The sequence below is a fragment of the Homo sapiens genome, chromosome 12, assembly GCF_000001405.40.
Source record: "Homo sapiens chromosome 12, GRCh38.p14 Primary Assembly".
NCBI classification, from domain to species: domain Eukaryota; kingdom Metazoa; phylum Chordata; class Mammalia; order Primates; family Hominidae; genus Homo; species Homo sapiens.
Genome location: NC_000012.12, coordinates 28,747,894 through 28,761,599, shown reverse-complemented (window position 1 = coordinate 28,761,599; position 13,706 = coordinate 28,747,894). Strand labels below are relative to the sequence as shown.

The following is a 13,706-nucleotide window of genomic DNA, read 5'->3' as shown; positions in this document are numbered from 1 at the left end:
TGTATTTCCTGAATCTGAACATTGGCCTGCCTTGCTAGATTGGGGAAGTTCTCCTGGATAATATCCTGCAGAGTGTTTTCCAACTTGGTTCCATTCTCCCCGTCACTTTCAGGTACACCAATCAGACGTAGATTTGGTCTTTTCACATAGTCCTATATTTCTTGGAGGCTTTGCTCATTTCTTTTTATTCTTTTTTCTCTAAACTTCCCTTCTCACTTCATTTCATTCATTTCATCTTCCATTGCTGATACCCTTTCTTCCAGTTGATCGCATCGGCTCCTGAGGCTTCTGCATTCTTCACAGAGTTCTCGAGCCTTGGTTTTCAGCTCCATCAGCTCCTTTAAGCACTTCTCTGTATTGGTTATTCTAGTTATACATCCTTCTAAATTTTTTTCAAAGTTTTCAACTTCTTTGCCTTTGGTTTGAATGTCCTCCCATAGCTCAGAGTAATTTGATCATCTGAAGCCTTCTTCTCTCAGCTTACTTTTGGTCTTTGATGATGGTGATGTACAGATGGGTTTTTGGTGTGGATGTCCTTTCTGTTTGTTAGTTTTCCTTCTAACAGACAGGACCCTCAGCTGCAGGTCTGTTGGAATACCCTGCTGTGTGAGGTGTCAGTGTGCCCCTGCTGGGGGGTGCCTCCTAGTTAGGCTGCTCGGGGATCAGGGGTCAGGGACCCACTGGAGGAGGCAGTCTGCCTGTTCTCAGATCTCCAGCTGCATGCTGGGAGAACCACTGCTCTCTTCAAAGCTGTCAGACAGGGACATTTAAGTCTGTAGAGGTTACTGCTGTCTTTTTGTTTGTCTGTGCCCTGCCCCCAGAGGTGGAGCCTACAGAGGCAGGCACGCCTCCTTGAGCTGTGTTGGGCTCCACCCAGTTCGAGCTTCCGGGCTGCTTTGTTTACCTAAGCAAGCCTGGGCAATGACGGGCGCCCCTCCCCCAGCCTCGCTGCCGCCTTGCAGTTTGATCTCAGACTGCTGTGCTAGCAATCAGCGAGACTCCGTGGGCATAGGACTCTCCGAGCCAGGTGCGGGATATAATCTCGTGGTGCGCCGTTTTTTAAGCCCGTCGGAAAAGCACAGTATTCGGGTGGGAGTGACCCGATTTTCCAGGTGCGTCGGTCACCCCTTTCTTTGACTCAGAAAGGGAACTCCCTGACCCCTTGCGCTTCGCAAGTGAGGCAATGCCTCGCCCTGCTTCGCTCGCACACGGTGCGCGCACCTACTGACCTGTGCCCACTGTCTGGCACTCCCTAGTGAGATGAACCCGGTACCTCAGATGGAAATGCAGAAATCACCCATCTTCTGCGTCGCTCAAGCTGGGAGCTGTAGACCGGAACTGTTCCTATTCGGCCATCTTGTCTCCTCCCTTGGATTCAACTTAATCTTTAGTGTATCTCTCCAGGCATAGACACAGGAATTGATATTGACACCCAAAAGACAGCCCAAACTAAGCTATAATATTTATCAAGCTGTTATGATATATATATATGAAAAATTATCTGTATATGAAAGATAAAATAATAAAGATTTTTAAAAGTATAAGTAAACAACTTTATGACTTTAGAGTAGGCAAGGCTTTTTAATAAACACAAAAAGCATTAAACATAAAGAAAAATTGATAAATTGTGTTAAAATTTAAAAGTTCTGTTTGTCAAAATACATCATTGATGGGTAAATAGGCAGCCCACAGAAGGGAAGAAGTTATTGACAATACACATATCCAATAAAAGACTTATATCTAGAAATATAAAGGTCAATCAAGCCAAAAGAAAAAGATTGAAATCCCATGAAGAAATAAGGAAAGAGTTGAGCAACAGCTTCACAAAAAGGATATCTAAATGGCTAATAATCATCTGAAAGGTACTTAATTTCATAGTATGTTAGATTGCAAAAATGAATCACTTCTTCCAACTCTGTCTCTACACCCTTTTCCATGCAACTTGGTAGAACTGACTAACTCTCAATCTGAGCAAGGCTGAGTGACTCATTTTAACCAATGGGATATTAGCAAATGCCATGCAAACAAAGGCTTGTAAAGCACTTGCACAATTGGGTTTCTTTGCTTTAGCACCTGTGCCATTTCCATGAGAATGCTGGGGCAACTCTGCTGGTGAATGAGAGATTTGCAGAGCAGAGATGAGTCATGCCAATCACTTCAGCTGCAGCTAGCCTCAATCTGCCAGCCGTCAGTGGACACCCTCAGTCATGTATGCAAGCCCAGCTAAGAACAGCAGAGTTGCCAAATCATCCCATCCCCACCTGACTCCATACTTGAGATCAATACATGAGATCATATCATGATCAAATCATGAGATCAATACATACTTGAGAGCAAAACATTGCAAATAAAGAGTTGATGCACTACTACTACATACACACTAAAATTGCTAAAATAAAGAACAAAACATCCCAAGTGTTAGCAAGAATTTAGAGCAATCAGGACTTTCATACATTGCCAGTTCAAACGTTGTGGAAACTGCAGTATCTTTTATAGTTGAATGCGTGCACACCCTATGACCAGCAATTCTACTCCTAGGCATGTACCAAACAGAAATGTGTATATGTGTTCACCACAAGGCGTATACTAAAATATTTGTCATAGAACTGTGGTAGTCAAAGAATTAGAAACTACTCAAATTTTCATAAAAAATAGAATGTATTAATAAATTGTGATATATTCACTCAGTAGAATTCTATATAGCAGTGAGAATGAACTACCACATCTATTCACACCAATGTGGATAAAATCAACATGCATAATGCTGAGCAAAAGAAGCTGGACATAAAAGAGTACATGTTGTCTATCTGATTCCATTTGTATAAAAAAACAAAAAATAATCATAATCAATGTTATTACAAGTCAGAATTGTTATTATTTTTGGGTGGAAGATGGCTATTGGAAAAAATGGACGCATTCTGGAGTACTAGTAATATTCTGTTTCTATCTGTCTACTGATGATGCTGTTGTGTTCCATTTGTAAAAATTTATTGAACTGTATGCTCACAGTTCAGTGCAACTTACACTGGAGGAGGAATAAAAATTGGTATTAATAGAAATGCATCTAGAGTTTTGAAACTCTTTCAAAAAATTAAAGAAGAGAGAATACTTCTAAATTCATTGCATGAGGCCAGCATTACCCTAGTACCAAAGTCAGACAAGAATACTACAAAAAAAGAAAACTACAGGCCAATATCTCTGATGATCATAAAAGCAAAAATCCTCAACAAAATACTAAAAAATGAAATTGAACAACACATTAAAAAGATCATTCGCCATGATCAAGTGGGATTCATCCCAGGGATGCAAGCATGGTTCAATATATGTAAATCAATAGGTATGTGTATTTGTCTGTTTTCACACTGCCATAAAGAAATATCTGAGACTGGGCAATTTATAAAGGAAAGAAATTTAATTGACTTACAGTTCTGCATTGCTGAGGGGGGGCCTCAGGAAACTTACAATCATGGTGGAAGGTTAAAGGGGATGCAGGCACCTTCTTCACAAGGAGGCAGGAGAGAGTGAGAGTATGTGAAGGAGGAACTATTAAACACTTATAAAACCACCAGATCTTGTAAGAACTCACTCACCATCATGAGAACAGCATGCAGGAAACTGCCCCCATGATACAATCACTTCCCACCAAGTCCCTCTCTTGACACATGGGGGTTACGAAGATTACAATTTAAGACAAGATTTGAGTGGGGACACAGAGCCAAACCATACCAGTATGATACATCATGTTAATAGAATGAAAGGCAAACACCACATGATAATTTCAATAGATGCAGAAAAAGCATCTGACAAAATTCAACATCCTTTCATAACAAAAACTCTCAACAAATTAGGTATAGAAGGAATGTACTTCAACACAATAAAGACCATATGCAAGAAACTCACAGCTTACACCATACACAATTAGGAAAAGTTTAAAGTTTTTTCTTTAAGATCTGGAAGAAGTCAAAGATACCACTCTTGCCACTTCTGTGCAACATTGACTAAAAGTCCTAGCCAGGGCAATTAATCAAGAGAAGGAAATGAAAAGTATCCAAATTGAGAAGGAAGAATTCAAATTGTTTCTGTTTGTAGATAACATGATTTATACATGAAAAACTGTAAAGACTCCACCAAAAAACTGTTAGAACTAATAAATGAACTCAGTAAAGGTAGAATACAAAATCAAAATACAAAAAGAAGTAGCATTTCAATACACTAAGAGCAACTTATCTTAAAAAAATCAAAAAGAAATCCTATTTATAAGAGTTACAAAAAATACTTAGGAATAAATGTAACCAAGGAGGTGAAAACCATAAAACCATCATAAATCCATGATATAAACTGAAAAGATAAAAATAATGAAAAGATATTTTTATGGATTGAAAGAACTAATATTATTGTTTATACCAGCCAAAGCAATCTACAAACTTAGTGCAATACCTACCAAAAACATCAATGACATTCTTCACAGAAATAGAAAAAATAATACTAAAATTTGCAGCAAAAGACCTCAAATAGCAAAGGTTATCATACGGAAAAAAGAAAAAAGCTAGAGGCATCATACTGCGTGACTTTGAAATATACTACAGAACTACAGCAACCAAAACAGCATGATGCTGGCATAAAAACAGAAACATAGACAAATGGATCAAAATAGAGAGCCTAGAAATAAATCCATGTGAACTAATTTTTGACAATGTTGCCACAAACACACAATAGGGAAAAGAGCAGTCTTTTTAATAAATGGTACTGGGAAAATTAGATATCCATATGTGGAAGAATAAAATTAGACGTTTATCTCACACCATATACAAAAATCAAGCTAAATTGATTAGACTTAAATGTAAGGCCTGCAACTGTAAAACTACTAGAAGAAAATATAGGGAAAAAGCTCAGTGAAACTGGTCTAAGCTATGATTTTTTGGATACAACTTCAGAGGCAAAGGCAAAAAAAGTTAAAATAGACAAATGAGATAGCATCAAAATAAAAAGCTTCTGCACAGCAAAGGAATCAATCAGGTTCTTTTGTAGGTTGTGAAGAGACAACCTATAGAATGGGAAAAAGTATTTGCAAAGTAAACACCCGATAAGGGGTTAATAGTTGATGATTCGTAATGTTGAACATCACTAATCAATAGAGAAATGCAATTTAAAACAAACCTGATATTTCACCTCAGTCCTATGCCCCTTATCTCCTACTGCTTCATTATTTCTGTGTGCCATGGTCCCAGATGACTGTTCAAGCTGCAGCCATCATAACTGCACTGCAACTACCAGGAAGAAGAAAGGGGTCCTAAAGAAAGATGCATATTCTACTTTAGGGAAACTTCTAGGAAGATGCACATAATACTTCTGCTCACATCCCTGATATGGTTTGGCTGTGTCACCACTCAAATCTCATCTTGAATTGTAGCTCCCATACTCCCCACATGTCATGGAAGGGACCCAGTGGGAGGTAACTGAATCTTGGGGGTGGGTTTTTCCTGTGCTGTTCTCATGATAGTGAATAATTATCATGAGATCTGATGGTTTCATAAAGGGCAGTTCCTCTGCACATGCTCTCTTGCTTGCCACCACATAAGACATCACTTTGCTCCTCCTTCACTTTCTGCCATGATCATGGCGCCTCCCCAGCCATGTGGAACTGTGAGTCCATTAAACCTCTTTTTCTTTATACATTACCCAGTCTCAGGTGTTTCTTCATAGCAGTATGAAAATGGATTAATACAGTAAATTGGTACTGGTAGAGTGGGCTGTTTTTATTAAGATACCCAAAAATGTGGAAGTGACTTTGGAAGTGGGTAACAAGCAGAGGTTGAAACAGTTTAGAGGGCTAGAAGACAGGAAAATGTGGGAAAGTTTGAAACTCCTAGATACTTGGAGGGCTCAGAAGACATGAAGATGTGGGAATGTTTGGAACTTCCTAGAGACTTGTTGAATGGCTTTGACCAAAATGCTGATAGTGATAGTCCAGGCTGAGGTGGTCTCAGATGGAGATGAGGAACTTGTTGGGAACTGGAGCAAAGGTTACTCTTGTTATGGTTTAGCAAAGAGACTGGTGGCATTTTGCTCCTGCCCTAGAGAGCCCAGGAATGTGAACTTGAGAGAGACCATTTAGGGTTTCTGGAGGAAGAAATTTCTAAGCGGCAAGGCACTCAAGAAAAGCAGAGAAAAAAGTTTGAAAAATTTGCAGCTTGACAATGCAACAGAAAAGAAAAATCCATTTTCTAGGGAGAAATTCAAACCTGCTGCAGAATTTTGCATAATTAACAAGGAGCCAAATGTTAATCACTAAGACAATGAAGACAATGTTTCCAGGGAATATCAGAGACCTTTGTGGCAGCCCTTCTCATCACAGGCCTGAAGGCCTAGGAGGGAAAAATGGTTTCCTGGGCCAGGTCCAGGGCCTCCCTGCTGTGTGCAGCCCAAGGACTTGCTGCCCTGCATCCCAGCTGCTCCAACCATGGCTAAAATGGGCCAAGGTGCAGCTCAAGCCGTGGCTTCAGAGGGATCAAGCCACAAGCTTTGGCAGCTTCCATGTGATGTTGAGCCTGCAGGTGCACAGAAGTCAAGAACTGAGGTTTGAGAACCTCTTCCTAGATTTCAGAGGATGTATGGAAATGCCTGGATGTTCAGGCAGAAGTTTGCTGCACAGGCAGGGACCTCACAGAGAACCTTTGCTAGGGCAGTGCAGAAGGGAAATGTGGGGTTGGAGCCCCAATACAGAGTCTCCACTGCATCACTGCCTAGTGGAGCTGTGAGAAGAAAGCCACTGTCCTCCAGACCCCAGAATGGTAGATCCACTGACAGCTTGCACCATGAACCTGGAAAAGCTGCAGACACTCAGTGCCTGCCTGTGAAAGCATCTGGGAGGGGGGGTCTATACCCTGCAAAGCCATAGGGGTGGAGCTGCCCAAGGACATGGGAGCACACCTCTTGCATCAGCGTGACCTGGATGTGAGACAGGGAGTCAAAGGAGATCATTTTGGAATTTTAAGGTTTAATGACTGCCCTGTTGGATTTTGGACTTCCATGGAGCGTATGGCTCGTTTGTTTTGGCCAATTTCTCCATTTTGGAATGGCTGTATTTACTGAGTTCCTGTACTCCCATTGTATTTAGGAAGTAACTAATTTGCTTTTGATTTTACAGGCTCAGAGGCAGAAGGGACTTGCCTTATCTCAGATGAGACTTTGGGGTTGGACTTTTGGGTTGATGCTGGAATGAATTAAGAATTTGGGGGACTATTGGAAAGGCATGATTGGTTTTGAAATGTGAGGACATGAGATTTGGGAGAGGCCAGGGGTGGAATGATATAGTTTGGCTGTGTGCCCATCCAAATCTCACCTTGAATTGTAGCTTCCATAATCCCCACATGTCATGGGAGGGACCCAGGACTCATTGGGAGGTAATTGAACCATGGGAGCAGATTTTTCCCCTGCTTTTCTCATGATAGTGAATATGTCTCATGAGATCTGATGGTTTTTAAAGGGCAGTTCTCCTGCACATGCTGTCTTGCCTGACACCATGTAAGATCTTCCTCCTTCACTTTCTGCCATGATTGTAAGGTCTCCCCAGCCATGTGGAACTGTGAGTCAGTCCATTAAACCTCTTTTTCTTTATATATTACCCAGTCTCAGGTATTTCTTCATAGCAATAAGAAGATAGACTAATACAATCCCATTAGCCAGAATTTAATTAAAAGCTACCTCTATCTGCAAGAGACTGTGAAACACAATCTATATTCCAAGTGAAAAAGTCCAACTGAAAATCAGTTCTATTTTTCTAAGAAGGGCAGAATGGATATTGGGGCCAACTAGTAAGCTTTGACATGCCCTTCTACCGAATTTCTTTACTGGCTATCTCTGTCTTTAGCTCTGCGTATTATAGGAACTGGTGTCCTTTCCCAAGCAGCAATTGGAAAACTTTTTGTAAAAGACCAGGTGGTAATTATTTCAAGCTTTGCAGACCCAACAGTCTTGGTCACAACTACTCATCTTTGCTGTGATGTCACAAAAGCAGCATAAACAACATGTAAATGAATGAGTGTGCCTGTGTAGAATAACACTATATTTCCAAAGTCAGGCAATGGGCCAAATTTGTCCCATGAACTACAGTTTGCTGATCCCTGCTATACTAGTCTGTTTGCATTGCTATAAAGGAATACCTGAGACTGGGTAATATATAAAGAAAAGGGGATTATTTTGGCTCACAGTTCTGCAGGCTGTACAGGAAGCATGGTGCCAGCATCTGCTCCTGGTGAGGGCCTCAGGAAGCTTCCACTCATGGCAAAAGGTGAAAGTGGAGCAGGTTCATCACATGGCAAGAGCCAAAGCAAGAGCTGATGGAGAGAGGTGCTCCCGACTCTTTTAAACAACCAGATTTCTCAAGAACTCAAAGCAGTGATAACTCACTCATTACTGCTAAAAGGGCATGAAGCCATTCATGAGGGATCCACCCCCATGACCCAAACACCTTCCACCAGGCCTCACCTCCAACATTGGAGGTCACATTTCAAGATGAGATTCAGAGGGGACAAAACGTCCAAACCCTATCCCTATCACCTGCTTCAGATGCTTCAGACAGTCAGTAAGCCTCATGAGAACAGAAAGGATGCCTGGCTTATTCTCCATGATGTCCTCATGCTCTGGCATATGGTCACTGATAAAAAAAAATATTGATTATTTTCGCAACCTACTCATCTGACAAAGGGCTAATATCCAGAATCTACAATGAACTCAAACAAATTTACAAGAAAAAAAAAACAACCCCATCAAAAAGTGGGCAAAGGACATAAACAGACACTTCTCAGAAGAAGACATTTATGCAGCCAAAAAACACATGAAAAAATGCTCACCATCACTGGCCATCACAGAAATGCAAATCAAAACCACAATCAGATACCATCTCATCCAGTTAGAATGGTGATCATTAAAAAGTCAGGAAACAACAGGTGCTGGAGAGGATGTGGAGAAATAGGAACACTTTTACACTGTTGGTGGGACTGTAAACTAGTTCAACCATTGTGGAAGTCAGTGTGGCGATTCCTTGGGAATCTAGAACTAGAAATACCATTTGACCCAGCCATCCCATTACTGGGTATATACCCAAAGGACTCTAAATCATGCTGCTATAAAGACACATGCACACGTATGTTTATTGCGGCACTATTCACAATAGCAAAGACTTGGAACCAAGCCAAATGTCCAACAATGATAGACTGGATTAAGAAAATGTGGCACATATACACCATGGAATACTATGCAGCCATAAAAATGATGAGTTCATGTCCTTTGTAGGGACATGGATGAAATTGGAAATCATCATTCTCAGTAAACTATCGCAAGAACAAAAAACCAAACACTGCATATTCTCACTCATAAGAGGGAATTGAACAATGAGAACACATGGTCACAGGAAGGGGAACATCACACTCCAGGGACTGTTGTGGAGTAGGGGGAGGTGGGAGGGATAGCTTTAGGAGATATATCTAATGCTAAATGAAAAGTTAATGGGTGCAGCACACCAGCATGGCACATGTATACATATGTAACTAACCTGCACATTGTGCACATGTACCCTAAAACTTAAAGTAAAATAATAATAAAAAAATATAAAAAATCAATTATAAAATATGAGGACCTTTTAAAAAGAACTTCAAGGTGTCTTAATTTTTATTTCAAGCTTATTTCAAGAAAGAAAAGGAGTTAAGTTGAGCATCACCAAGAGATGATACAAAGTTCAAGGTGAATGGAGAAGAAAAGAAGGGAAGGGAAGTGTGTGTGTGTGTGTGTGTGTGTGTGTTGTGGTGGTGGTGATGTTGGAGGTGGTGGTGATGGTCAGGGGACGACAAAGAGAATAATCCAAAAAGAACATTTTATTAGCCTGTTAGGTTCATGAGGACTTTATGGTTGGTAAACAAACAAATTCTCTCCTCCACTACCCACAGTCTTTTGGATTCTTTTCATTTAAGGAGGCTGGTATGAGAAGTCTGGAAAAGGTGTTATTTTTTACAATTAGAGGATCCAAATGCAAGCCTGGGAGAAGCATTATTTCTTCATGTTGACTCATTCTTTTCTTTGGGGGTCAACTCCCTCATCCCATTCATCCTTCCCTCTCTGAAAGCGATCCAGGAAAACTGCATGCTCCTCTTGGAATTCCACAAATAGAACACAGCAAAACATTAATGAAGAGAGAAAACAGTTTTCATTTATTTTGCTTTCAGAAATACACTTGGAATGGTCTGTGCCAGAGTTGTACTATATCAAAGAAACCATAATCCAAAAAACAAACCCTTTTTAAATGATAACCAACTGTATTTTGTATTTTCATTGAATTACTTTATTTCTGTAAAAAACAGAATTTCCATTTTTTCAATCAAAGAGCTGAGTTTCTAAAGCTTCCTGTGGTCTATTTACATTTCCTACAGTAACCTTCTTAAGCAAGAGACCAAGGAAAATATGAAACTTACTTTTTTGTTTCATTTTCCCTTTTTAAAGGAGCTTCTGTATTTTCCTGACCTTGTTAAGGCCTAAGCAACAACAACAATTTTCAAATAAAAATTAGCAACAGATTAGCAGATGCCTCTTTATTACAAGAATTATTGTCAGTTTTCAGTTACATCATCACCTCTGGCTATATGCTATGCATTGGATACTTATGTTACTTTGCCTTCTTTTTTCCTCAAGAGCAACTAATCAAGAAAAGTAAGATAGTAAGATGAATCTAAATGTCTATGAACTGAAGAGTGGGATCCTTTAAGAGTAGTCTGACAGATATCATTTAGAAGGAACGTATTGTTAACTATTGAAACAAGATGGTGAAGGTAGGAAATCAAGACCTTAGAAGGGTTGCATTCATTCACTTATTTAAACAATATTTTTTGAAGATTTTTATTTAATCATCAGTGTAGTAGGTGCTGGTAGAGGGAGAAAAAAAAAGAGTTGTCAATCATACTGCAGGACCATGAGTTTCTCTCAAGGGTTGGGCTACTGCAAAATAAATAACTTTAAAGATAAGAAACCTGGAACCTCATCAAATCATAGCTTTCAGAATGTTCTTGACTTTCCCGCATCCTCTGGGGAGCAATGGAGCAGAATAACTCTTTAAAATACAGAGATTTTAAATAGGTCTGTGGATGTCATTCAGCCTAAAATTCCCACTGGCTTCCTCCATCTGTTATGGTATCTTCAGTTGCTTCATTCAACTAGACACAAAATGATCCTTTCAACCTCATTGTTGAAGGTTTCAGCTGACATTGTTTGAAGAGAATACTTCCTCCTTCTTCTCTGGAAGACACCCTAATTGGACTCTCTGGGCTCCATCCATCACTCCTGCCCAGGCTAGATGGAATCACTTACCTGGATGGTAAATAGGAATAGGAAAAGTAAGCAGAACCCTGGTCTTTTTTCTCTTACTTGAATGCAAACTGCCTGTAGGGAGCATAAGTTTTCGGTTGATGAGAAAGCCTAAATTTGATGCTTAATAGGGAGAAGCTTACTTGTCAGCAGTTATAAGCCATGGCCTTCGATCTAGCTTTCCATAGTAAAAAAAGCAAAATATTGGTTTCTACAGGCCAACTTTTTTATTATGTCTCAAATGGTTCAGACCTTGGATAGGAAAAAGTGCTGTTATTATTGGTCCTCCTTGCCTCATGATCCCAATATCTAGTGCCATTAATTTTGAGAGAAAGAGACAGGGAATGAAATTTGCAGATGGAAACAAAACAAAACTATGCTTAGAGGTATTTGATGAAGCCCCAGGAAGCTTCCAATCATGGTAGATTGTAATGAATGTTAAAATCATACAAATAAAATATTTGGTTACATGAAGCATGTTTTGAGCTTTGGGCTTTAATAGAGGTCATGTACATCTTTGACCTTGCCTGCTTCCTTTAATTCTTTTGAAGTTGCACTTTAGGACAGCTTCTGTGCCCCAGCTGTCCAGGCATGAGTGCAGGGGTCAGCAAACCACGACCCATGGCCTATTATGGCCTGCTGCGTGTTTTAGTGAAAAATTAAAGTTTTACTGAAACACAGCTGTTAAAACATAAACTGAGGCACAATAAAAATTTAAAGAGTTTATTTGAGCAAATGGTGATTTATGAATTGGGCAGCTTCAAACCAGAAATGGTCTAGGGGCTCCATTGAAGAAGACTGAGTGACAGGTTTTCATAGAATGAATGTTGAAATCACACAAAGGAAATATTTCATTACAGTTATAAAGTTGCCTTACCTGGTCTGTCCCACTAGAAAGTCCCTAGTTGTAGAATTATAAGTTTGTTGGCTGCTTCTGATTGATTGAGCTTAAGTTCTGTTTTTCCTTAATATAGGCACTACAAGAAAAACAGCTCAAATTACATTTCACTTCTGTTTGCAAATCAAGCAAAGCTAAGGTCACTTATGAGGCTTCACTGGGTTTGTCCCCACAGCGATTCTTCAGGCCTAGACTCCATTTTAATTCACTTTAACACAGCTAAGATTCACTATGTATGTTGTCTAAGACTATTTTCACGCTACAGTGGCAGAGTGGAGTGGTTGCAATAGAGACCGTATGGTCCACAAGCGTAAAATACTTAACATCTGGCACTTTACAGAAAAGTTTACCAATCCACACATTAATGAGTTGAATGGCCTAATGCCCTTTGCTGTATTTCAGCCAGATCTATAAGCCATTAGAAGATTTTCACCTTGGAATTTGTAGTATTGACTTTCATCCTAAGCTGAGGCAGGAATGATCCAGAAATTGGGTGACTTGTGCCACTTTGATCCACATGTGCTAATTACACTGTGAATCTTAGAGATTTGTATTGCAGTTTTTTACCCACAGAAAACTAGAGGACTTTATATGAAACAAATAACAAGAAATGATGGCCACTACTATACACACCAGAGATCTAACCTGCACTAAAAAGGTAGACGGAAAGCTGATTGAAATCCTCATTAAAACAAAGGCCCAAAAACCATTAAAGAAAGTCAGTACATGTATGTGATACCTTCACTTGAAGTTTATGTTGACACAGAAGTAGTGCAAATACCTTGGGAATCAGAAATACTGCAGAAAGTTTTAGATGGCAGACTTTTCCACTTTAAGAAATAGTTTGGATGGGGCATGATGGCTCATGCCTGTAATCCCAGCACTTTGGGAGGCTGAGGCAGGAGGATCGCTTGAGCTCAGGAGTTCAAGACCAGCGTTGACAACATGACGAAACTCTGTCTCTGCAAAAACATTAAAAAAAATTAGCTAGGCTTGGAGGCATGCACTTGTAGTCCCAGCTAGCTAGGAAGCTGTGCTTAGGTGGGAGGATCACTTGAGCCCAGGAGGTTGAGGTTGCAGTGAGCTGAGACCATGCCACTGCACTTCAGCCTGGGCAACAGAGAGACTCTGTCTCAAAATAAACAAAAGAAAAAAGAAATTTTTTTTTCTCTAAAAACGACGGAAAACATATAGCTAAAATGTGGCTCAATTTAAATATTTTGGAAAAATGTGTCTGGAAAAGGAGGGAGAGGTTTTAGTGGTTACCAGGTCAGGAAAGTGACTGAGACCCAAAGAAACCTAAGAGATGAAAACTAGAATTGAACCTTAAGAGAGAACTTCCTGAAGAAGAGAACAACAGCATCCAGAAGGACTCCTGATTGGAGCCTGAGAAGGTGAAACGATCATGTTAAAGAGAGTGGGAGGCCAGATGAGGGCAGGAACCCCCATGCTACAA

The 13,706-nt window shown here is 40.0% G+C and overlaps 1 long non-coding RNA gene across 2 annotated transcripts in view, besides 1 other annotated feature; it reads left to right on the top strand.

Moving 5' to 3' along the window:
* The window catches only part of LOC105369711 (uncharacterized), an 81,818-nt gene that overhangs the window by 33,351 nt on the left and 34,761 nt on the right, over positions 1-13,706 (top strand). The gene's annotated exons all lie outside the window — the stretch shown is intronic.
* Positions 1,773-2,390: an enhancer, noted in NCBI's record as "OCT4-NANOG hESC enhancer chr12:28912143-28912760 (GRCh37/hg19 assembly coordinates)". NCBI's record gives its function as "activates a minimal SCP1, AML or CMV promoter by ChIP-STARR-seq in naive and primed H9 embryonic stem cells {active_cell/tissue: H9 hESC(naive and primed)}" and the evidence as "EXISTENCE:reporter gene assay evidence [ECO:0000049][PMID:30033119]".